The sequence below is a fragment of the Homo sapiens genome, chromosome 11 (assembly GCF_000001405.40).
Source record: "Homo sapiens chromosome 11, GRCh38.p14 Primary Assembly".
NCBI classification, from domain to species: Eukaryota; Metazoa; Chordata; class Mammalia; order Primates; family Hominidae; genus Homo; species Homo sapiens.
Genome location: NC_000011.10, coordinates 94,973,650 through 95,000,538, shown reverse-complemented (window position 1 = coordinate 95,000,538; position 26,889 = coordinate 94,973,650). Strand labels below are relative to the sequence as shown.

At 36.7% G+C, this 26,889-nt stretch overlaps 1 protein-coding gene and 1 pseudogene across 1 annotated transcript, besides 1 other annotated feature; both read right to left on the bottom strand.

The window, feature by feature from the left end:
- Positions 1-1,019: 1,019 nt before the first annotated feature.
- On the bottom strand, positions 1,020-26,830 carry KDM4D (lysine demethylase 4D). The gene is made up of 3 exons (NM_018039.3): positions 26,471-26,830; positions 24,791-24,885; positions 1,020-3,515 (listed from the first exon to the last, which is right to left on the bottom strand). The coding sequence occupies exon 3, from the start codon at positions 3,164-3,166 to the stop codon at positions 1,595-1,597; it is 1,572 nt and encodes a 523-aa protein (NP_060509.2). The 5' UTR covers positions 3,167-3,515; positions 24,791-24,885; positions 26,471-26,830; the 3' UTR covers positions 1,020-1,594.
- On the bottom strand, positions 7,036-7,625 carry LOC100422440 (general transcription factor IIE subunit 2 pseudogene; annotated as a pseudogene).
- Positions 26,577-26,726: an enhancer, noted in NCBI's record as "active region_5407". NCBI's record gives its function as "activates an Ori minimal core promoter by ATAC-STARR-seq in GM12878 lymphoblastoid cells {active_cell/tissue: GM12878}" and the evidence as "EXISTENCE:reporter gene assay evidence [ECO:0000049][PMID:35858748]".

The window sequence follows — 26,889 nt, the reverse complement described above, 5'->3', positions numbered from 1 at the left end:
AAGTGACCATAAATGCATGGGTTTACTTCTTGGCTCATTACGCTGTTCCATTGGTCTATGTGTCTGTTTTTATGCCACTGCCATGCTGTTTTGATACTACAGATTTGTAGTAGATTTTGCAATAAAGTACTATGATGCCTCCAGCTTTGTGTTGGAGGTGGGGCCTGGTGGGAGGTACTTGGATCATGGGATTGGGTTTCTCATGAATGGTTTACCATCATCCCTCCTTGGTACTGTCCTTGCAATAGTAAGTGAGTTCTCATGAGACCTGGTCATTTAAAAATGTGTGGCACCACCCCCCTCTCTCTTTCTCCTGCTCCAACCACATGAGGTGCCTGCTTCCACTTCGCCTTCTGCCATGATTTTTTTTTTTTTAAGACAGAGTCTCACTCTGTCGCCCAGGCTGGAGTCCAGTGGCGCCATCTCAGCTCACTGCAAGCTCCGCCTCCCGGGTTCACGCCATTCTCCTGCCTCAGCCTCCTGAGTAGCTGGGACTACAGGCGCCTGCCACCACACCCGGCTAATTTTTTTGTATTTTTAGTAGAGACGGGGTTTCGCCATGTTAGCCAGTATGGTCTCGATCTTCTGACCTCGTGATCTGCCCACCTCGGCCTCCCAAAGTGCTGGGATTACAGGCCTGAGCCACCGCGCCTGGCCACCTTCTGCCATGATTCTAAGTTTCCTGAGGCTTCCCCAGAAGCTGAGCAGATGCCGGCATCATGCTTCTCATATAGCCTGTGAAACTGTAAGGCAATTAAACCTGTTTTATTTATAAATTACCCAGTTTCAGGTATTTCTTTACAGCAATGCAAGGACAGACAAATCCACCATCCTCGAAGCATGACTGCAACCCAGCCCCCCTACCCAGCCAGACAGCCATAATGCGACAACCATCCCCTGAGCTCATTCACCACCACACAATGCCATAAATGTTTTCAAATAATTATGAAGTACATAAAGAATAATCTACACACACACACATACACACACAGGTTGAAAACACAATATTTGAAATAAAATCAGATTTTAACATTTTGGTTACCTTTAATATATTTGGGAACAAATACTGTGACAACATATTTTAAGTACATAAATAACTCAGAAAAGTCATATCTTTTATTCTGGAACTCTACTGACCTTATCTGTATAAAGAACCTAGTTTTATAAGAAAAAGGGGGTGAGGGAGGGGAAGAGAGAAATGCGTAGACTGAAGAGGAATCAAAGCTCAGGATTCTTCACAAGTGCAGCAGCTTCCACAGTTGGCCCAGAGGATGGTAGTTGCATATACCAGGTTACGCTAACCTCAACAAGACCTAGTTCTCACACACAAATGTGTCCAGTGGATAAAACCTCAGCTGCAGAAATAGATTTTAGCAATATCCAAAGACATTCCAGGGTCCGGTAGGAAGAACAAAAGTATGGCAAAATTGAAAACTACCATGGACTTGGCAGCATCCAAGGGCATCACCAGGGGGGCTCTTTCATGCATGCCTAGAGTCCTGCAAACTCAACCAAAGTTTTGGGATGTAAATGTAACCAGTTTCATCAAACTGTCACACAGCAGGGCAGTGGGATATAAAGACAGCCCGTGGACTTAGGGCACAGGGGCCCAGCTGCACCCAGAAGCCTTGACAGGATGCTGGAGCCCTGGGCTCAGTGGTACAGGCTTGTCCATCAAAGCCCCATCCTCAGGTAGGGGCTCAGGTTCTGGGCCCGAAGCTGTGCATGTTGTGCCCGCCAAGAGGGGCCTCTTGGCTGGAGTCTGGAGGGTCAGCTCCTGAGCTCTCAGTTTCTGAGGAGGGCGACCACGACCACGTCTGCCATTTGACGGGTGGATAATCTGTGCAGATGGACCAGGGGTGGATGATGGAGTTGAGCTGGGCTTCTTAGAGCTGTGGACAGCAGCAGCCCGGGGCTGCGTAGCAGTGCCACTAACTGCAGATCGGCGTGGGAGTGAAGAGCACACAAGGGTGTGGCACCGTGTCCCACTGCGGGCAGCCATAGGCCAAGGGGAATGCCGGGCCCAGTGGGAAGGGAGTTGTCTCAGGCCCAGCGCTGCTCTCCTGGGTAACTGGACTTCCTTCTGGGTGCTCAGCTCTTGGCTGGCTGGTACCCTGGGCTCCATGTGGTCCACAACTGCCCGGTCTTGCCCACGTTTCCACAGGTCATAGCGTTCAGGTTGCAGGATGCGCACGAAGGCATCCATGGAAAAGGTCACCCTTGCCTCCCCACAGCTACACTGGGAGGCCATTTTGCCATAATCAATCCATCGCGGAGTGGCAAAATTGATGGCCTCTGCGCAGTTGAAACCATGGTTGAAGCCAGCATGGTAGCCATAGGGAAAGGTCACCATGAACTCTCCAGCCTCCTGAGTTATGCGATTGAAGGGAATCCCATTTTCCTTGAGAACTGTAGGCGAGATGAGGGCCACCTTGTGCCGCAGGAAGGCCCCACAACCCCGGGAACTGCCTGGGAAGAGCTCCCTGGCCAGGCGTTCCAGGCGCTGGCCATGTTCTGGGGGCACCACATACCAAGTTTTGGGCTCCCCAAGGTGCAGGTAGTTGATGCTGTAAAGGTCCATGTCCTCTGTATGCCAAGCAAACGTGGTTTTCCACATGCCAAAGTACAAGTAGGGTGTATTGACGCCTTCTATGACAACCCCACATTCCTTTTCCAGCAGGTCCTGAATTGTTCCCAGGTGCCCAAGATTCCATTGTTTAGTGTTTTCATCAAACAAGGAGCCACTGATGTCAGCACCATAAATCGGTGAATTATAGATGCGGTTCTTCCAGTATTTTCGCTCCAAATCTTCGAAATTCTGGTGTGGTGGAGTCTGATATTTTTTACTGTTTGCCAAATGGCGATACTCCCCCACAGTCATGGCTTTCTTTTTTTTATGGTATTGAGTAAACACCCCTGCCCGCCCAGAGGCCACCTGCTGGAGGGGAGTGGCTATTAAGATTTCACTGATATTATCATAGGTCTCTCTGGCTTTCCATTCTTTGGGTGGAATTATCTTAGCCAAGCCAGCTCTGTGTGCACCTTGGGATTCCATGTAAGCAATATATTTATCAAAATCATTAAACTCTTCTTTGGTTGGATGAAATATCATTATGTTACAATTTGGATTCTGGGCACAGTTGGCCTTAGACTTCATAGTTTCCATTTAATAAGCAGTAAACTCTTAGTTTTTAGGTATGTTCTAGATAGTTGACAATGTAGGAAAATGCTACTTTAAAAAAAAATTTGACTGGTGTTATCTATGAGGTAGCAGGATCTACCAGCGTACTTTTTTTTTTGCAAATGAGATGATAATCTTTCTTGGGCTTGTTTATTCACTAGTGAGATTCCACTCTGGGCAGCAGCTTTGCCCAGGCATTGACGTTAGCTGATCCTGCAACTCTGTTATGTTTCGGTTGCTGCTGGGCTCTGTCTTCTTAAGTCTATTGAATTACTCAGACCTGGGGGTACGACCCAAATGTAGCAGAGAATGTCCTCAGTGTTTAGAACAAAATCTAAAAGAAAGAATACACAGAGATTAAAAATTGATATTTGGAAAAAATATTAGGCATCCAGAAATTAAATACCAGAATAGAATAATAATATTACAAAGAGAGGCTAAAATTTTATAAGATTGATAATTCAAGTGGAGGTGTGGATGTGGAACAGTGGGAATTTTCATACCCTACTACAGAGAATATGAAGCACTATAATCACTTTGGAAAACTATTTGGACAGTTTCTTCTAAAACTGAACATACATATGTTCTGTGATCCAACTGTTCCACATGCCTAGGAAATGTGTATGGTTGTGAGCTGAAAGTCACATCCAGTAATGTTCATAACAACATTGTTTCTGGTAGCCAAACACTTAAACAACCCAAATGTCCATCAGCAATAGAATGAATAAGTACACTGCAGTATATTCACACAACAGAATACCATATAGCAATGAAGATAAACCAAAGCCACATGAAAATGCAGTTTTATAAAGATCAATATTGAGTAACATTATCAAGACTCAGAAGAATACCTATTACACAATTGCATTTATATAAAGATGAAAAGGAGGCAAAGTAATCTATGTTTGAATTGCTTCTTGGCCTTTTGGCTAAGATCAAGTGTAGTAATCTATGTTTGAAGTCAGAGTAGTGGCTACCTTGGGAAAAGAGGGGTTGTTGTGTAGGGGGGCTTGAGGGGATCTCTTGAGTAAAGTTAATCTGTTCAGAACCTGGGTGCTGGTTTCATACCCATCAGAATAACTCATTGTGTTAACTCATCAAGGTATGATGATTTTCACAAATTTCTGTATGTTCATTTAAAAATAGGGTTTAGGAGGAAAAGCGTTAAAGACAACTAAGAGGCATATTTCATTGTATTAAAAGGAAAAGAAAGAACGACTGAAAATAAACTATACATTCAAGTGATAAAGGCAAATTAGAGTTAAGGGAAAGAAAGAGGAAAGGTACGGAACTAACAAAGAATAAAGATGATGTGTTTCCTTAACTCATACCGTGTGACTTTGCAGTATGTGTCCCCTATCCCTCGCACAACTGGTATCAGCCCTACATGGACCAATCTAGCATGACAGGAATTTTCCCCATAGAGAAGGGCCATTCAAAAGAGATGAAGAAAGCAGATAGTAAGGTTCCATCAGGGTTAGGATTTTTCCAGGCAAGTATACCTCAGTGAGAAAGGGATAAGGTTGTTGATGGGTTGAATGGAGAATGAACCATTATATCTATCCTGGATAAAAAAGGAAATAAGAACTTGAGGGAGGTTCGTGGGCTAGATTTCTCTATTTAGTCAAATAGTCCTGTTAGGACACTAGGAAAGGGAAGCTCAAAAAAGATTGGGATGCTCGAAACAGATTTTTTAAACTAGGGGCAGTTTTTAACTGAGTGCCTATTTTACTGATGTCTTGACATCTTCCTGAGTTTTGACTTTATGCTATTATTCAACTTCAAACTGTTTCTCCCCTCCCACATTCTCTCTCCCAAACTTTCCCTTCTTCGTCAGTTCTTAAGTTCCACTCCTTCCCAAGTAGATGAACTTGACTGTTCATCTTCCTTTACTGTCCCAACAAAACAGCACATCTTCTTTCATATCCTGTAGTTCTCTTGCCACTTATCACTTCTACCTTATATAATGTGAACAGTGTCACTTTTATTTAGCACTTCATTTAGACAGACCCCTTATTAAGCACTTTATAGTATCCTATTCAAAACTCACAACTAATCTATGAAGTTGGTACTATCATTATCCCAATTTTATGAAGGAAGAAACCAAGGTATAGAGAAATTTATAACTAACTCAATAGCTTGTGTTTTCAGTCTCTACAATTATGTCTATCCTTGACTTATCTTCCATATAAAAGTATTGAGAACATAATCTGTGTCTTGTTCACTATTGTGTTTTCCAAGAATATTGGTTTTCTTATATATTGTAGGCACCCAAAACATTTTTATTAATTAAATGAGTTGGCACACACTTCCCTCTGTCACCTATTGATTACACCCCATGTTTCTCACTGTTCTCCGTCCTCTCAGGAGAAAACACTGCTTTCTAGGGCTAATTTCTCCATTTGAACTCCTTAAATCAACATTTCCCACTTGGTCCAGGACTATGTTGAATTAAATAATCAGTTATTTTTCTCTTTATTAAATCATCAGTCATCAATCTCTTTCCTAATTTAAGCTACTGTCCTTACTCCCTCTCTCCCTCCTCTCAGGCTCCTCTCTCTCTCTCTCCCACCCAACCCCAGGTCCTGCCCCCACCTTTCTACTGACATTGTTCTCCATAAATCATCAAACTGCCTCCCAAATTCTGCTCCAGGGGTTACACTTCACTGATTCACAGAACCAGTGGTTCTGTGAACATCTGGTTCACAGAACATCACTGGTTCACAGAACACCTCCCCCTTCCTCCTAAAACTCCTACAACCTCCAGGGCACTGATACTTCTTTTAACACTGGTTCTTTTCTTTCTTCTGGGTTCTACCTCCTCTTCTACCACACACATGCAGACATCTCAAAGTTCAATTTTTATCCCTCTTAACTTTCTTTCTCTCTTAAAATTTCCTATTTATATTCAGGGTTTCTGTTAGTACCATGCTGTTTCCCTTTAAACATGTTATTTATTGTCATAACTTTCTCCAATAACTGACTCTCTCCTAAGCTTCTGCTCTCCTTCTCCAACTTAGATGGCCCAGTGAGCCCCTGAAAGTCAACTGGTTTAATACAAATTGATGATCTTTCTCCTGAAACTAAGTTACTCCTTTATATGTCTTTTATTTCTATCAAGGGCAATAATGTGTTATCGTAGTCACCACTGACTATTACATCTCCCTTTTCCCAGACATATGGTCAGTGCCTGTCAGAGGATCCAATGATAGTCTTCCATGAGGCCCCAAGGACATCTAGACACCCCAGGGTGTGTTCTCTTTATCTTCCTTATAGAAGAACCCAAGAATCCAGCTTGTCTTCCTCTCCTACTTAAAGCTGTCACTACTCAAGCGAGACACTGAGGATGTACAAGTGACAAGATTACCTGTATCATATGATAGTCTCCCAATCTCATCCCAATTTTTTAATCTTAAAAATTATTCTACAATGATTTTATTATAAATTCTTTATATTTTTGGAATATAAAATAAAATATTTCATTCTTTCTATTAGAAAACTTGCTCTAAAGAAAAGAAAAGAGAAAAGTGAGACAATTTAGAAGGATAATTAAATATCAGAAACTTAAATATCATGCTGAGGGTCTTTCCCTCAAGAAGTAACAAAATGCTGACTATGAAAATCACACAAACCTATATATTTTTTTGAATATACAAGTAAAATAAGCTTTGGGTTGAGCACTTTGTATCTGTTTTATAAACTGCGTTACTTCTTTTCTACATTTCTAAGGATTCTAGGAAGAATGATGCAATGTCTCCTTATACATATAGTCTTCAGATGTTGCATATCAAAAGAAAATACTACAATTTGTAAGTGTGACTGCGCTCCAAAAAAAAAAAAAAAACTGCTTAGAATTTGCCAGGTACAATGATGGAGAGATCCTTCAGTGTTCTAGCCAAATGTGTCACTTCTCTATGAGTCTTCAATGGTTGCTTTTGTTGTGAGACTACTTGCTTCTTTCAACTGGAACCATAGCTACCAGTAGAGAATAATTACACTGTCACTTGATACTCTTCCATTTTACCCTTACCCACAGTAATCACAATAAGGCAGAATTCGTCATCTAAGAAAACTTGACAGTTCTGACAACCAAAGAAAAGTATTTTCTTATCAGAATAATTAAAAAATAATACTTGATCCCTTAAAATTAATGGATTTCTGGAAATTAGAAAGTCTTTCTTCGGGTCTTTTAGAAATAATGCCTCCTAAGCTTCTTGCTGTGTGTGTGTGTTGGGGGGTGTTAAACTGGGCAAGTTAAGAAGTGAAGCTGAGTAAGTTTAACAGTCCCTTTCACTGCAGCCCTTGCCCAAACTGTTTGTCTTTCTTGCTGCATATGTATTTCAAATCTATTACTTCAAGTGGGGGATTGTTAACAAAATGCCTCAGACATCAGCCCTTGTTTCTTCTGACAGTCAATATCTAAATGCTATGTTTAATCAAATTTTTTTCTCAGTTAGAAAATCTACTACTTATTTAAAATAATTTATAAGCATAATATATTTGATAACTGAAAAAATTCTACTCTGTGTAGACAAGTGATTAAACTTATCCTGTATTATTGGACAGCTATTTTGTTTTTACTTTTGCACGATTATTACTAATCACTTTTACTTAAATATGTAGTCCGTATTTCAGTATCTAAAACAGTACATCCCGTAAAATATTGGTTGAATGAATGAAATTTCTTAGATTAGATACTTATAAATGAAATTACATTATAGAATTTAAATATTTTAAGATCTTTAATACACGTTGCCAAAACTTTAAAGAAAAAATATATTTTACATCCTGAACACTGATCAAATTTACTTTGAAAAAATATATATTTTACTAATTTTGGTAAGTTAAAAAGTTAGATCAAGTTTTAATTTACATTTCTTGGACAACGACTAAGGTTGATTTTGATTTTTTTCATAAATATTAGTCTTTTGGATTTCATCTTATGTATTGGTTCATATCCTTTGCCTGTTTTTTTCTAATAGGGTCCCAGGGTGTTTTCTTACCTACTTATATAAACATTTTACATATTAATTACATGAATATTTTACATATTAAACCCTTTTGTTAGATATGTTAATAGTTTTTTTTGCCAGTTTGTCATTTAACTTGTATTTCTTTAAATTTATTTAACAAAAATGTTTTTGACTTACAATATTTTATTTTCCTTTGTAATATTTTTCATGTTTTTCATGTTTAGAAAGTTATAATACTTCTTCATCTAGATGGAGATAAATATTATCCTATAGTTTTTTCCTTTGTATATGCTAATTGTACCTTTAATTCTGATTTTAATTATACCTTTAATTCTGTATTTCGGAGAGGGGGGGTTATTAACTTTTGAAATTATTGTGTGGGTATTGGTGTGAGCATGAGTATGAAGAGGATATGAATATGATTCTTGGTTCTTTACAGATGACCTGTTCATTATGTGTGTTGTTTATTTTAGGTTGTTTGTCTCTCTATCAACGTTTATAGAAGCTTTTTTTGAACCCATATTCTTACATTTTATCCATCTCAAAAATGAAGTTCTTTAATTTTAGGATTTTTTTTTTTTTAGTTCTTTCTTTGATTTCCTCTACTCCTTTTCGTCTGTGTATTAACTCCTCTTATTTAGATATTGGACCTTTCATGGATTAGACCTCTAATGTTCACCTGTTTTCCCCTCCCCCAAGTTTTCTATTCCTTTATCACTATATTTTATCTTCTAAAAAATTTCTTCATCTTTATCTCTAAACTTCCTTTCTCTTTGTCTTTTTCATTTCTCCAATCAAATTTTTAATTTCCAGTGATCATTTCTGTTACCTGAGAGTTCCTGCATGTATGTACATTGCTTTTCTTTCTTATTGTCTTATTCTTGCTTCATGGGAGCATTTCTTCTTTTACCTCTCTAGAAATACTAAAATCTCAATGGTTTTTGAAATTCTGTTTTGTTTTTCTCCCTGCATGGTCTGTTTCTTTGAAATTGACTTTTGTCCTTTTTATCTTTCTTTCTTTTTTTTGCTTTGGTCTCTTTCATATTTAAGGCTTTCCTCACATGTCTGGTAGCCTTTAGTAATTGCCTTATATAAAAAAGTACAGCACAAAAAAGGCAGATTAGAAGCTCAGGGTACATGAATTGTTTTAGTGATTATGCTTCCCTGAATGATATTCTAACTGGGCTGTTTCCTAGGTGAACTCCTAACACTGATATTTCTAGAGCTGGTCATATTCAATGCAAAAGATGCTTCAGTCTTTCTCCTGGAGAGTACAGGTCTGACTTCCCTCCCAAATGGCAAAAGAGGCTACACATTTCTAAAAGTACCCTACTTGTACAGTTCACTTTATCAACTTATTTTCCCTATGACAACCACACTCTCAAAAGTATCTGGAAATTCCCAGTCCAGAGGCCACCTTTTTCCTCACTCTAGAAAAAATGAAGCTCAATCTTCTGCCAGGGTGTAAGAGGGGCAGTTTATCCAGCTGCTTAGAGGAGGGTGGGAACCTAGGGCTCTGTTTTGTTAGACAGATTTCAACAAATTCTCCTTAGCCTCATTTTAACTGTCACTCCCAGAGGTACCTAATGCCATGACATCCTAAGCCTTTTGGGTTCTGTAGAGACAATTGTGTTGCTTCTTGGCTTTCCTCATTGCCAATTTAGGACTCAACTTTCCAGTGTTTGATAAATCAGTTTACACTTGTCCATCTGCTTTCCAATTTCCAAAACTGGCCACTACCTGTTTTCCTTTACCATTTTCTGTCTTTGTAAGTTCATTTCTTAAAACAAAAATCCTGTTACTGTCACTTTAGTGAGGTTTGGAAAGGGAACAAAGTAAATGATTGTGTTTAAACCACATCTTTATTGCTTCTTGTTTCCCAAATTTCTCTCTCAATTTTCTTATACAAACGTAGTTCCAGTCAAATGGTCCTAATCACTGTCCTTGACTCTATGCTTTTCTTCCCTTGCTTCACTTATCTCTTCCTTCTCTTTTCTAAGTTATAAACTCTGCCTTCCAGACCAATCTGAGGCTCTCCTACATCAGGGTTCCTTCTATACCAACCTCAGACCTTGGTGAGAATTCTATCTTCTATACTCCATGAGTGCTACATTTATTTGGTGCTTAATACAAGCTGTTGAGGTGGCAGCTCTCCAGAATGTGTCTTACTTGACAAGCAGCTTTCATCTCTAATGGGCACTTGCCTTAAGGGAATAAGTCTCTTCCATGAGATGTGCTTGCTTCTCTCTCCAAAATATCTGCATGTCTCTGACCCAAAAGCTTTGACAGACCTTTCCTCATAAGCTGCATGAGAAAAGGAAGGTAAGGCTGGGCATGGTGGCTCACGCCTGTAATCCCAGCACTTTGGGAGGCCGAGGTGGGTGGGACACCTGAGGTGAGGAGTTCAAGACCAGTCTGGCCAACATGGTGAAACCCTGTCTCTACTTAAAATACAAAAATTAGCTGGACGTGGTGGTGGCCTGTAATCCCAGCTACTTGGGAGGCTGAGGCAGAAGAATCACTTGAACCTGGGAGGTTCAACCTGGCGGAGGTTGCAGTGAGCTGAGATCACGCCACTGCACTCCAGCCTGGGCAAGAAGAGTGAAACTCTGTCAAAAAAAAAAAAAAAAAAGAAAGAGAGAGAGAGAGAGAAAGAAGGTTAAAGGGCAACTTTTCCTGTACCTTTTGTGCCTACAAATGCCAATATTTGGTGTGGACTTCTTTTTATGAACATCTAGAGGAGTGTGGATATAAAGGAGAAAGACACACGGCAGCAAGTATCAGGCATGGACAGCATAAACTGTGACATAAAACCCAAAGTTTGGGACTTGGCCTTTAAATCCAGCATCTTAAGTGCAGCATTATTATTTCATTCTGACATATAATAAATTGAACATGGGATTATTAACCTCATTCAAATCATCTTTATTTTCATCTGTTGCATGGATACTGCAGCAGTAACAGTGGTATCTGGCAGCAGAGAGAGGCAGGAGCCAGAAGTCTTCCTGCTGAATCCATCTACAAGGACACACCACTCCATTGAGTTTTAAGGAATTATCTAATATATGCTTCTTTGGACTGTCAATACATTTTAAATACATGTCTTGAGTAGCATGTAAGTTTGGACTTACATGGACTCTCCCAGAGATTCTGTAAACTACTCAATAACCTTTTTAGCTTTTTAAAAAAATCCCCTTTGGCTTAAAGTGAATTCTATATACATGTATAAATTTTTCTTTATTCTGCAGTTAATAACTGTCTCATTCTTTCATTTGCTTGGCTTTACACTTTATATTAATTCATTCCCAGATTCATTTCCAGAAAGGTAAATCTCTTCTAAATGCATAAAACACATCTGGTACTGAATCAGATTTCTTTTCTCAGAAATATTCTTACTGGAGCCCTCAGATGCTTACTTAAATCTAGACTGATGAGTCTTCAGGTTGTTGCATGACGTGCATCTTGAGGTTTCTAGTCATTGTAATCCTGGGGGTTCCCTTTCCCTCTCTATTATGTTAGATCCTGATTCCCCCCATCTCAAGTCTCCTTCCTGGTTTACTCCCTTGTGTTGGTAAAGCATATCTACCAGAAGCATCCTTAGAAGCTTCATTAGAGATTATTAAGTAGCTCACAGAATCTTCAGCAGGACCAGAGACTAGGGATTGGAGCCTGTGTATCCAGGAACAATATCCAGATTACCCAACAAACAATAGTTAGATATTCCTATATATCCTCTGGTCAAAGACACCAAAGACTCTGGGCAAGGGACATTTCCAATTAGAGTCTAAGCTACTGCTGCCTCTGAAAGGTCACTGTCTCTCACTGCCCTTCTCCAGGAACAGATCCTTCATGAAATCTACTTCCTCATATTTCTTTACATTATAGTCCTCCATGGGAATGTCTGATTGGAAGAGTCTAGGTCATATCTCTATGTCTTCACTGCAATAGGTGCTGGATAATTGAGTTCCGGCTTTGACCTTGATGAGGCAGGGGTCATAAAGTTGGAGGTTTACCGAAAAATAAAAAGGGAATTTAAAGTTATTTGATGGCCACAAATATCACAACTCTCTCCCAAAGTATGCATGTCTGAGTCTGAAAATGTCTTTGTTCTATCCTCATGCTTTTCTTTCAGGATTTTCAAGACATTGTTCTGCTGAATTCTACCTTCCAAAAATCCAAAACCTGTTTTCTGTTCCTTTTTGTAATCTGTCTTTACTCTCTAAACAGTATTAGCATATTCTTCTGTTCCTTGTTTTCTAAGATTTCATTAAGATATAATTGGTAAGTCTTCTTTGTCAATCATTGTGCTAGAATTTTCAATATAGAAACTCATGTTGTTCCTTGCTGTGAAATTGCCTCACATTATTCCTTTGGCATTCCTTTCTATATTTTCAGTTTTCTCCTTCTCTGGAAATACCAGTAGACAGCAAATACTGTTAAGACAGCAACCTCTTGATTGATCCTCTAATTTTCTTTACTCTCCATTTCCTAATGCTTTTTCTTTTGTTACTATTTTCCAAACCTTCTGGCAATTATTTTTAATTTCCAGGAATTTTTTTTGTTCTCTGAATATTCCTTTCATCATATATTTCTGAAATTTTCCATGGCTGCAGATTTTCTCTTCTCTAAGTATTATAAGAATTTTTAAGTTTTATTTGCTCTCTACATTGTGTCTGTTTCCTCTGAGTTTGCCCTTCCACAATGTCTTTGTTTCTGTCTTTCATGTTAAACGTTTTCCTCGTATGTCTAGTTATTCTTGGCTTGTATTTGAGTCAGGCACTGAAGAGTTGCGTTTGCTATGTATGACTGGTAGGCATCACTGAGAGTGCTCCTACAGGAACCTATTCATTTCCTTTGAAGATGGGGGCACCTGTCAGTAGTTGAAGATAAGACTATAATGAAAAGACTCTACATTTATATGTTTATCTCCTTTGATATTGGGGCCCAAATTTGTGGTGTCCGAGTTTTTGTTTTGAGAAACAAAAACCTGCATTCCAACCAGCCAGAACTGAAACCTTAATATTTTATCAAATTTGCTTCAAGTAGTTTTTAAACAACTTTATTGAGATATAATTTACACAACACAAAATTCATCAATTTTAAGTGTACACTTCAATGATTTTTTGTATATTTACAATGCTGTGTGACCATCACCAAAACCTAATTTTAGAATACTTCTATCACTTCAAAATCAAACCTTGTTCCATTTGCATTCACAGCTCATTTCCACCCCCAACTCCAGGCAACCACTAATCTACCTTCTATCTCTACAGATTTGCCCACTCTGGACATTTAATATAAATGGAATAATAAAATAGGTAATATTTTGTGTCCAGCTTCTTTTACTCCACGTTTTTGAGGTTCAACCATGTTGTAGTATATATCAGTATTTTATTTCTTATGACCAAATCATAATCTATGGTATGGATATACTGCATTTTACTTATCCATTCATCATTTGATGGACAATTGGGTTGTTTTCATTTTGGGACTATTACGAATAATACTGTTATGAACATTCATGTACAAGTTTATGTGTGAACGTGTTTTTATTTATCTTGGGTAGATACGTAGGAGTATAATTGCTGAGCCATGTGATAACTCCATGTTTAACGTTTTAAGAAATTGCTACACAGTTTTTCAAAGTAAATGTAACATTTATAACCAGCAATATATGAGGGTTCCAATTTCTCAACATCCACATCAATACTTGTTATTGTCTTTTTCATTACAGCAATTCTAGCAGGTAAAAAGTCGTAATTTTTGTGGTTTTTAATTTTTTGTTTTTTAAGACAGGGTCTCACTCTGTTGCCCAGGTTGGAGTGCAGTGGCATAATCACAGCTTACTGCAGCCTCGACCTTCCAGGCTCAGGTAATCCCCCTGCCTCAGCCTCCCAAGTAGCTGGCACTAACAGGTGCACATCACCATGCCTGGCTAATTTTTTTTTTAAATTTTTGGTAGAGACAGGGTCTCACTATGTTGCCCAGGCTGGTCTTGAACTTCTGGGCTCAAGCAATCCTCTCACCTTGGCCTCCCAAAGTGTTGGGATTACAGGTGCGAGCCACCAAGGCTGGCCTCATTGTGATTTTCATTTGCCTTTCCTTAATGACTCATGATATTGCACATCTTTTCATAAGCTTATTGGCCATTCATATATATATTTGGAGAAATTTCTATTCAAATCCTTTGCTTATTCTTTGTTTTCTTATTACTGTGTTGCAAGTCCTTTACTGGATATATGATTTGAAAATGTGGTCTCCAGGTCTGCAGGTGTTCTTTTCACTTTCTTGACTATGTCTTTCGAAGTGCACAAGAATTGAATTTTGATGAAGCCCGTCTTATCAATTTTTGTTGTTGCTTGTGCTTTTGGCTTTGTGTCTAAGAAGTTATTGCCCAGCTCAATGTCATAAAGATTTTTCCTGTTTTCTTCTAGGTGTTTTATAGTTTTAGCTCACATTCAGGCTCACAATCAATCTTAATTTTTGTGTATGCTGTGAGGTAGGAATCCAAGTTCATTCTTTTGTATGTGGATATCGAGTTGTTCCAGCACCATTTGTTTTCTTTCTCCATTGACTGTCTTGAAACTTTTGTTGAAAATCAGTTAACCATAAACCTAAGGGTTTATTTTGGACTTTCAATTCTATTCCATTGAACCGTTTATCCTTATAGCAATTAGCAATGTCTATTAGAGCTCTGTAGTAAGGTCTGAAATAGAAAAGTGTGAGCCCTCCAAATTCTTTTCTTTTTTTTCAAGATTGTTTTGGCTATACTGGTTCCTTTATATTTCTATATGAATTTTAGGACCGATTTTTAATTTCTGGGGGAAAAAAGCCAGTAGGAATGATGGTAGGATTGCATCAATCTGGAGATCAATTTGTAGAGCATTACCATCTTAATAATATTAAGTTTTCTGATCCATTGACATGGAATGTCTTTCCATTTAGCTTAACAATATTTTCTAGTTCCCAGTATATGTCTTGCACTTCTTTTGTTAAATTTATTCCTAAGCATTTTGATCTTTTTGACACTATTGTGAATGGAACTGTTTTCTAAATTTCGTTTTCACATTGTTCACTACTAATGCACAGAAATCAATTTATGTATATTGATCTTGTATCCTGCAACCTTGCTGGACTTCGTTTTTAGTTTTAGTGGTTTTTAGCAAGCTACCTAGGACTTTCTATATATAAGATCATGCAATCTGTCAATAAAGATAGTTTTAGTTCTTCCTTTTCAGTCTGAATGTCTTCTTTCTCGTGCCTAATTACCCTGGCAGTGTAATGCTGCATAAAGTAGTAAAAACAGATATCCATTAAAAATCTTGCTCCTGCTACAAGTATTTTTAAGTAGAAATAAATAAATATTTCAGATGAAATGGGATTCCTTCTCTGATCTGAATCTTAAATCCTGTTCTCTCTCCCCCTGCCTATAAGCAACTACAGTCATGAATAGGCTACACTGTCCATGTTTGGGTGTCCATCAATAATACTGTTTTGTGTATCTGCTATTTTTTTTTTGAGACGGAGTCTTGCTGTGTTGCCCAGGCTGGAGTGCAATGGCACGATCTCGGATCACTGCAACCTCCACCTCCCGGGTTCAAGTGATTCTCCTGCCTCAGCCTCCCAAGTAGCTGGGATTACAGGTGCCTGCCACCAAGCCTGGCTAATTTTTTTTTTTTTTTTTTTTTTTTAGTAGAGATGGGGTTTCACCATGTTGGTTAGGGTGGTCTCGAACTCCTGACCTCAGGTGATCTGCCCTCCTCGGCTTCCCAAAGTGCTGGGATGAGAGGTGTGAGCCACCATGCCTGGCCTGCTATTTTTATTTCATATAAATAATTTTAGGCTAAATATGCCCATTTTCTACAATTTTTATTTTTATTCATTTATTATGAGAAAGGGACTGGTTCTGTTGCCCAGGGTGGACTGCAGTGGTGCAGTCTTGGCTCACTGCAGCCTCCCTCTCCAAGGCTCAAGCCATCCTCCCACCTCAGCCTCTTAAGTAGTTTGGACCATAGGCGCAGGCTACCATGCCCAGTTAATTTTTCTATTTTTTGTAGAGACAGGGATTTGCCATGTTGCCCAGGCTGGTCTCAAACTCCTGAGCTCAAGCAATCTGCCAGCTTCAGACTCCCAAAGTGCTGGGGTTACAGGCATGAGCCACTGTGCCTGGCCTCATTTTCTGCAATTTTTAAATTCAACATTAACAGTTTCAAGATATATTCATATATACATACACGCACATATGCATAGGTACACATATGTATATATACATACATACACATACATACACTATATATGGTCTGTTATAAAAATATATTTTATTATTGCACTTTCCTATTGGTGGGTATTTACATTACTTCCAGTGTTTCCTATTACTTTCAGTGCTGTGTGTGTTCTCTTTCTTATATGTGACAATTTATCTAGGGTAGATACTTTGAATTATCATTTCTAAATGATAAAGAAACAACATTTTAATTTTACTAGGCAATGTCAAATTGCTCTACCTAGTGGCTATCCTAATAAACCTATGTACTAATAGGAGTTTCTGTTTCTCCACACCTCCAGGTGCATTTGATAATGTCAACTTTTCAGTTGTTGGCAATTTGGTAAAATGATTTATCTCCTTTTATTTTATTATTGTAGTTGTTGTTGTTGTTGTTATTATTGTGTGACTTGTTTACTGGTGAAGTCAAGTAATTTTTCACTGATTTATTTCTTTTGTGGGTTTCGGTTTTCTGAATTACCAGTTATACCTTTTGCCGATTTTTTCCAGTTAAATTGCTTTCTTTTTCTAGTGATTTTTAAAAGTTCTTTAAATGTTTGGGATAATTTTATGTCTATTGTATTGTTGCAAATAACTTATCTCAGCACACCACCTCCATTTACTGTTTATGTTTTTTTGATATTTGAAAAAATTAAATGTAGTCAAATTTATTGATCTTTTCCATTATGATTTGTGCCTTTGTGTACTATTTAAGTAATCCATGTATTCTTTGGGGGTCAAAAAGATCATATTTTCTTGTCATTGTTTTCTTTGCTTTTCACTTTTATTTGTTTTGCCTATTTAGAATACTGTGTGTTATTGTAAGAAACAGAACTTTTTTTTTTTTTTAAGAAATCCAGTTGTTTGCCACCATTTTCCCCATTCAGTTGGAATCCTTTTCTCACATATGCTAAGTTACAATGTAAGGATAGATGTCTTTCTAAACTCTTCATCTGGTCCATTTATTTATTTGTACATTTCTATGCCAATGTTAGATTGTTTTAATTACTAAAGCTTTATACTTAGGATAATTGGTAAGGCAAGTCTCCATGTACTTATTCAACTTTTTTCAAAATTATCTTGGGTATATTTATAGAGTAAAACTTCAGTATTCATTTTAGAATAAATCTGTCAGGTTCTGTCAAATACTGTTAATTTAAATTGGGAATGCATTGAAATTAAAGGAAAATTAGAGGTGTATTTTCATAGCTCCTGCATTGATCATTCCCACCAATTAACTGGTATATTTATACATTTATTCAGATCTTGTTGCATGTATATCAATGAAGCTTCAGATTTGCATCAAAAAGATAATGAATCTGTTTTCTTAGATAAAACCTTAGGAACTTTATAATTTTTTGAGTGTACTGTACATGGAAATTTTTTTCTATTAAGTTTTCTTATTATTTATTGATCTTACATCCCTTTTCAAACCTTGTACCTCTTATTTCCTATTAGTACTATTAGCTTGGCCATTAATTCTAGAATTTTCCACGTAGATAATATTTTCTAGGAAAAAATCATAAAAATTATATCTCTTCTTTTTTTAATAGTCATGTCTCTTTTTTTTTTTTTTTTAGAAATAGGGAAGTCTTAAGTAACTAGATATGATCTCTAGCAAAATGCTGAATGTTGACTGAGTTGGTAGAAATTCTATACTCATCTAAGATTTTAATAAGAGTGGCTCTAAACTTTGACATTAATTATATCCTATCATTTACCATCTAAGCTGAGACACTTTTGAGAATAACAGAGACCCAAGGATGACAGGCATAAACCTGGACCCTACTGATCAAGCAGTTAAAAAGCAATAGTCATATAAAATTCAGTTCTGCCGAGCTGCAGAATATATATTTTTCCAAGTTCTATAAAAAATTTACAAAATTAACCATAACTGTGGCCATAAAACAAGCTTTAACAAATGTCAAACGGTTGAGAACAGTCAGAATATGTTATTTGACCACAAACAATGAAGTTAGTAATATCAAAATGATAACTAAAAAATTCCCAAATTTATAAAATAAAAAGTATATTTCTAAATAAATTTTTAATGAGAAAATAAAAAATGGAAATTAGAAAATATTTTGAACTAAATGAAAATACTACATTTCAAATCTTGTAGGATGCAGGTAAATAGCATTAAAAGGGAAATTTATAAATTTAAATAAATATTTAAGAAAAGGAAAAAGGTTAAAAAAACTAAATGAGCTAAGCACCCATCTGAGGAAGTCAGAAAAAAGTAACAGCAAAGAAAGAAAAAGAAGAGAAATAATAAGAGACCAGAAACTGATGAAATAAAAAGCCAATATAAAATATGATGAACAAAACCAAAAGTTGGGCTTTTTTAAAAAAGTCTAATAAAATTTAAAAGACTGGTGAAAATGAGGAAGAACAAAAATAGAAGGCACAAATAACCAATATCAACAAAGATAAAGAAGTCATCACTACAGATGCTGCAGACATAAAAGAGACAACAAAGAAGTATAAACAACTTTATGCCAATACAGTTTAACATTTCAATGAAGTAAATACATTTTTAGAAAAATATAACAGTGATACTGACAAAAGAATAAACAGAACAATAAATATATCCATAACCCTCAAGGACACTGACGCAGTAGGTAAAACTCTTCCCAGAAAATATACTCGAGGCCCAGATGGCTACACCAAGAAATTTTAGTCAACATTCAAGAAAGATATTCCAATCTTAGATAAATTTTCTCAGAGAATAGAAAAAGAAAGAATACTTCCCAATTCATTTTATGGTACGAATCCCCAACAAGGATACTATGAGAAAAGAAAATAGGTCAATCTCGCTTATGAACATAGATGGAAAAATCCTAACTGAAATCTGAGCAAATTGATTCCAGCAATATATACATCATGACCTAGATGGGTTTATTCCAGTAATGAAAGGATGAAACTTTAAAAAATAATAGTGTAATAGCACATATTAACAAACTAAAGAGAATCTCATTAGATGCAGAGAAAGTATTTGATAAAATTCATCAATTCATCATTCTTTCAGCAAATTAAAAATAGTAGGCAAAAATCTTAATGAAGTGCATCTATCCAAAACCTTCAGCCAAATCATACTTAATAATGAAAGTTATACGTTTTCCCTTGCAGATCAGGAAAAAGACAAGGATGCTTGCTATCAGCATTTTTATTCAACATTATCTTGGAAGTCCTAACCAACATAAGAAGGCAAGGAAAAAAGAAGGAAAACAGAAAAGGAAGAAACAAAGCTGTCACTATTGGCAGATGACATGATTGTACATGTGACAAAATCTGAAAGATCTCTGAATAGACCCTTTGAATTAATAAGAGAGCTTAGCAAGTTCTCTGAATTTAAAATAGCTACATATAAAAATCAATGATATTTCTACACACCAGCAACAATGAGACAACCAAAATTTAAGGAAGACGCCATTTATAATAGCATTAAGCATTAAGTAACAAGACTAATGCTAACAAAAATTTGCAAAATTTCTATGAAGACAACAATATGAATGTACTTAGAGAAGCATATTAATATAAACTAAAGACATCCTAAACAAATGGAAAAATATAACCTGTTAATAGATTTGAAGACTTAGTATTGTAAAAATGTCATTACATTTTTAAGAATGTTTTCTTAATCTGTAAATTAAATATTATCACAATTAAAATTCCAAAAGTATTTTTGTGGAACTTGACAATTGGCTCCTGAATTTTATAGTAAAGTCCAAAGGGCCAAGAATAGCAAAGCCACTCTTATAAAAGTGGGACAAGGTAAGAATATCTGCTCCATCGGATTTCAAGGCCCCTTCTCCAGCATGCCACGCACAAAAATGAATTTCATGTGCAGCTATGAAACCTTTAGAAGATAATACCTGAGAATATCATTATGACTTCCCAAGTAGGGACATTCATAATCAAGAAATACCATGCATTAAGCAAAAAGGAAAAGAATGATAATTGAACCACTCTAAAAGTGGTTCCAAAAAGAGAAGCAGAGAAGTGGCAAATTGTATATGCAGCACAAATAAGTGACAGAGAACTATGCCTAAACTTAAGAAATCATAGAAATCCATAAAGAAAAGATGATTCAATAGAAAGATTTAAACAGATACCTCACAGAAGAAGAAATCCAAATGGACAATTAACATGTGAATTAATAATCAGGGAAATGCAAACTGAGACCTCAATGATATATCACTATATACCCACCAAATGAGCTAAAATTGAAAAGCCGGACAATCAAGTGTGGTGAGATTATAGAACAAGAACTCTCATCTCCTGTTGATGAAATATATATATGAAAAATGCACACACATGCACCTTTGCACATTTACAGAAATGTTCATTGTGGCATTATTTGCAATTATCACTACAACGAAAAGATAATTACTAGAATTAACAAGTTATGGTGTGTATTTTTATACAATGAAACTCTAAATAGTATATCAGAGCTACAGATAGCACACATTAAGTGGGAGGAATAAAGCAAAAACATAAAGGAATACATATTCATTTACATAAACATTTTGAACATTTATATAAAATTTAAAAATTGGCAAGACTATTATCATTTAGAAATGCACACATTGGGCCAGGTGCGCTGGCTCACACCTGTAATCCCAGCACTTTGGAAGGCCGAGGCAGGTGTATCACTTGAGGTCAGGAGTTCGAGGCCAGCCTGGCCAACATGGTGAAACTCCATCTCTACTAAAAATACAAAAATTAGCCAGGCATGGTGGCACGCACCTGTAATCCTAGCTACTCGGGAGGCTGAGGCAGGAGAATCCATTGAGCCTGAGAGAAGGAGGTTGCAGTGAGCTAAGATTGTGCCACTGCAGTCCAGCCTGGGTGACAGAGTGAGACTCTGTCTCAAAAAAATAAATAAATAAATAAAAAAGGAAATGCATACATTGGCATTTGTTGAAATTTGGGGAGGGCTTTATACTTGATTACTTTTTGTAAATATTCAATGTTTATTGAAAAGAATATATATTCTGCTCTGATTACAGTGAACTTTTTACATGCACATAGAAATACAATAAGCATACATATATAATGCACACATATATGTACACACATATAACTTATATAGTAGATCAATGTTGTTGTTTGCTTGATCTGCTCGTCTGAGAGAAATTTATCTTAAAAAAATTCCCACCATGATTTTAGATTTGTCACTTTTTCTTACTTTTGCTTCATATTTTCTCAAGTTATGTCATTAGCTGCATACATGTCCGATAGTAATTTTCCTAGTGGATTTTTCTTCGTAATATAATACATGCACTTCTTTGTCCCTATTAATGTTATTCAACCTAAGAATACTTTTGCTAACTAACATTGCTACATCAAGGTTTTTAAATTAGAATTTGCCTGGCATGTCTTTTTCTATCTCTATTTTCTACATTTTAGTTTTTTAGTTTTAACTATTTTTAATATGTTTGATTTTAATTGTCTTCGCAGTAGTACACTGGTCAGCTGGTGAGGTATTTATGTGATTAGATTAGATGAGAGGTGAGTAACTTATGACATTATCCAGTAACCCAGCCTGGACCATCAGCAAATGATATTTCATTTGGAGGCTGTCTCCAGGAAATAATCTCTCTAAGCCCTAGAATGTCTTCATTTAAAATCAAGATTTTGTTGGTAGAGGGCTAGACACTTTATTTTTATATTCTCACTTGTCAAAACATCAAAGAAAGCACTAGTTTTTTATATTAGAAAATGTGTCATTTTCAGGTTAAAAATTTGAAGTAGATTTCATTATTTATGTTACTTTATTTTAAAATGTAATTTCTGACATGTGGGCATTTTTTTTTTCGTATTCCTATTTAAAAGCCACAAAGAAACATTTTTAAGCAAAATGTTCACATTTTGTGGGCCAATAACTTGGTAAATGAGAGTTTAGTAGAATTGGAGACAGTGATTCAACTGGAAGAGATGGAGAGAGTTGGATTAGAGTTGTGATTGGATTAGGGCTGATTTAATTAGGATTTTGATGGTACATATAAAGCCTGATCTCATATGATTTTTTTCATTTAGAGATTCTCTCCCGAAAGAAAGTCATATTTCTGGGTCTTATCATATCTTCATTTGAAATCGGGATTTCAGACTAATACAATGTAAGTTACTTTTTTCCTTTAAAATATAAAATAGATTAAGGCAATAACTTTTTACAACAGAACACAATTTTTTCCTCTTAAAACTAATTCATTCTTTCATTCGTCCATTCATTCTTTCTTTTATTCACTCATATGGAAACTGTTTATTGGGTAGCTATTGGTGCCAGGCATTGTTTTAATGCTTGACCTATATTACTGAGCAAAACAAAGATCTCTGCCCTTTTAGAACTTATATTCTACATGGGAGAAGTAGAGAAAGAGACAATAAATGTAACATAACTAAATTATATAGGGTCATGGAAGATGATAAATGCCATGTAATTATATATAATATAATTTTAAAAGATAAAAAGAAGAAAGAGGGGAAGGGAGATACGGAGTACAGAATGTTAGGGGACAGAGAGGGAGAACAGTTGCAATTTTAAGTAGAGATGCCCAAGGTTCGTTGGACTCCATTTGAACAAAGACTTGAGTAAGACAGGAAAGAATAGCCTTGGCAGAGAAAATAGCTAGTGTGAGGGCCCTAAAGCAGGAGCAGCTGTGTGCGTGTCCAAGCAACAATATGAAGGAGGTAGCCATGAAAAGCATGAGCAAGTGATGAGGTCAAAGAGGTAGGGGAAAGGGTAGACCATAGAAAACTTTGGAAACCATTGTGAACACCTTGGCTTTTACTGTGAGGGTAATGGGGGACCAATGCCCCCCGCTGTCTGACTGGATCCCCTTTTCTCTCAATCCCATCCAACTATGTTATTAATTTTTTTAATTGTTGCCAATCGGATGCTGTAATGTGATAATCCATTTTTAGTTTACTTTCATTTTCCTCATTAGAAGGTTGAGTGTCTTTCATGTTTATTGACTTGTCTATTTGAAATTGCTTTTTCTGAATGGCCTGCTTATATCTTTTGTCCATTTTTTAATTGGGTAATTTGTGATTTTTATATTATGTGTATCACTAGCAGTAGCAGTAATCCTTTATATGTTATAGGCATTACAAAATTTATTTGCGAATCTAGAATTTATTGACTTGTTTTTGGCATCTACAGCTATAAAATTAATTGTTGGATAAATGAATTTTTAAAAGTATTTCTTTTAAAGCTCTTAAGGTGTTCTGCTTTGATTGAAAGGTCTTTCCAAATTCTAGGTTCTATAAATAGTTTCTTAAATTTTCTTCTTAGGTTTTTATGGTTTCTATTTTCCCTTTTAGGTGTTGATTTTGTTTAAGCTTTAAACTGGAATTCCTATGCTACTCCTGCCATAAAAATAGAAAGTTTTGCAATCAAGGGCCAAACTACATCCCTTTCACATTTAATTAAATGCTACCTTTGGCATACTAAAATGAAAGAGCCTTTTTTAAGGTTAAGATATACTATACCATGTCCAAAAGCTGATAAAAATGATCTGAAAGGGATGGCCTCATAGATCATAAGAAAGAGAAAATATATAGCAAAATGCCAGCCACTAAGAAACCTGGAGGAATTAGGACCCAGAGCACAAGGGAGAGTGTGGGTCACCTCATCTCCAGTAATAATGAGAATCTGAGGATACAGGAATAGCCAAAGGCAGCTCGATAGATCTGCGGAAAAAAGGAGATGAGAAGTCCTTGTTTAAGAGCTTCTGTTTTCTCAGAGAACTGAGAAGATCTACTGCCAGGAAAGAGAATGCAGAGGGAAAAGGAGGTGAAAGAGGCATGTAGACTTGAAGAAAGGGGAATGTGGGAAATTATATTATTGTAGAGGGGGAAAATAAACAATTAGGAGAGCATAAGAGGACTGGCAGGCAGAATTAAGGGCCAAACTAGATTTTGTGGTAACAGGTTTAACATAAGAATTCTTGGGAGGTTATATGATTTTTGCCAGCTAGGTTAACTGATCAGATGAATTTCAAGATTTTAGTAAACTTAAGTTTCTTTTTCTTAATACTTTCAAACCATTTAAGTCAAAAGCTTTAGTTTCATTTTCTTATTAGCACTTTCATTTAAGTCAAAAGCTTTTAATTTTGTGGATTGACTATATTGTATATTGGTGTTAATGAAATTATAGGGTGGCTATTTATCACCACTGGCAACCAAAAGATTAGGTTAGTGGGCTGGGAGTTAAATCAATGAAGTGATTCACTCCAGGCTAATGAGGACAGTTGGAACATAAAAACTGTGGGTATCTCCTATAATTGTGTTACCATCTTGCCATTGTTACGTCATTCCTCTACTTCATAGTGCATCATTCATTCATTCATTCATTCAACAAATACTTACTCAGCACCTATTATGTGCCAGGCACTGTTCTATATGCAGAGGATACACCCAGTGAACAAGAGAGACAAGGTTCCTGCTTTCCTGGAACTTATGTTCTAATATAGGAAGATAGACAATAATAATAAAAATAATATTAATAATAATAATAATAGCTAACATTTATTTAGCAAGTACTATTTGCTGAGACAGTTCTAAGCACTTTACAAGTATTAATTCACTTAATCCTTAGAGTAGTATTACAAGTTAGGGACTAGAATTACGCCCATTTTACACGTGAGGAAACTGAAAGCACAGAAAGGGAAAATGACTTGCCTAAGGTTATAGAGCTAGGAAAGGGCAGAACTGGAATTTAGAACAAAAATGGGCAGGCTGAAGATCCTTTTCTCTTAATGACCTTCGCATGCTGTCTCCTGAGAGACATGGAAATAAAAAATGAATAGAATAGACTCTGGTAATGTTTAGTGGTATGAAAAATGAAACAGGGTGATGTGATGGTGTACAAACACAAGTGTTGGAGGGGTGGGGGTAGGAAAACCTCACTGTGATACCTGAGACATGAAGGATGGTGATACAGTTACTTTGGGGCACAGGCAACAGAGAAAAGCTAGTGCAAAGGCCCTAAAATAGAAGGAATCTTGCCCTGTTTTATAAAACAGAAATGCCCACTTGGCTGTGTCTAGAGCTTAGTGCGTAAGCGAGTGACTGATTGGAAGTGAAGTCTGGAAGGTAGGCAGGAACCAGACTCCGTGGGGTCTCAGGTCACATTAAGAAATGTGATTTTTATTCTAAGTGCAGTGAAATTGTACACAGGATAGTAACACCATTTTATTAATTTTAAAAGATCACTCTCTTGGCTATATGCAACACTGACTGTAGGATAAAAGATGACGCAGGAAGATATAATAGGAAGCAATTACAATCCAGGTAGGAGATGGTGTTGGCAAAGGCAAGGGTAGTGGCAGTAGAATAAAATTGCGGGTGAGTTTTAAAAGTAGAATTGTTAAGACCTGTAAATGAACCGTATGTGAAGAGTGAATGAAAAGGAATTTAAGTAGGCACTCCGGGATTTTGGTTTGAGTAACTAGCATGATGATCGCGTCTTTTAGTGAGACTTGTTAAGACTGGAGGAGGGATACCTTCGGTAAGAAAAATCAGGATTTTCATCTTGAACTCTATGACTGAAAGGGCTTTTTCTGCTTTTCTTTCTTCATTAAAAAGTTGCAAAGAATTTAGGGGTAAGAAAGCATTTAAATATTCAATTTTGTGAGTTCCTTACATTTTAAACTAAGTTGGGGAAGTTGAATTTTCATTTGTTTAACAAATATTAATTGAGCAGCTACTATACGTCAAGGTCTATGTGATGAGATACCAAGATGAGCTAAACAACCAAGATCTCTATTCTCAGAATTTGTTTTTATGGAAGGGAGGAGAGACGACTGGTAGGTTTTTGGTTTTCGGGTTTTCTACTTTTCGTTGTCTTATTAAAACTTAACACTTAAGTAGCCATCTTAATAATTACATCTTGTGCTCCTGGTAGTTGGGCCCACCATTGTAAACGCTCTCGTAAATACTGACATCTCCCCTCCCACTAAAACTAACGTTTTTTAAATAAGAAATTTTAGCAAACATTACGAATACAACCTTTGCTTTGAAGTGTTAATATTTTTGCAGGAATGGTACCTTTGTAAAGATCGTGGTTGCCCCGTACATATTTGTTCTTTCTTCATATCCAATTAAATGAAAACACTAGTTTTTCCGAAGCCCAACTCTCTAGGTTTGTTGGTTCTAGCTCAGGAGAAAGGATGGAAGCAGGAGTCGTTGGATTTAAACAGTTTGGTGTAATCCTTTTCCACGCTCTCTCCCGCTAGCCGGGGACGTGGTGTCGGCTACCCGGGGCTTTCCGTCCACGCAGTACCGGAATGAAGGAGTCTGGGAGGGGGTCGGGGACGGAAAAGACGGAAGAGACATTAAGTAATTGGTTCTTGAAGGTATAAAATGAGGTTTAGGGTCTACTCTAAGGCACTGATTTCAAACGCCCGCCCCCTGGGCCGCTTCGGCCCCGCCCCTTAGTGCCGTTACGCCGACTTCCACTTCGGCCA

Coding starts and splice junctions, on each gene's coding strand:
- KDM4D (NM_018039.3), bottom strand. CDS start 3,166: ATGGAAACTATGAAGTCTAAGGCCAACTGTGCCCAGAATCCAAATTGT.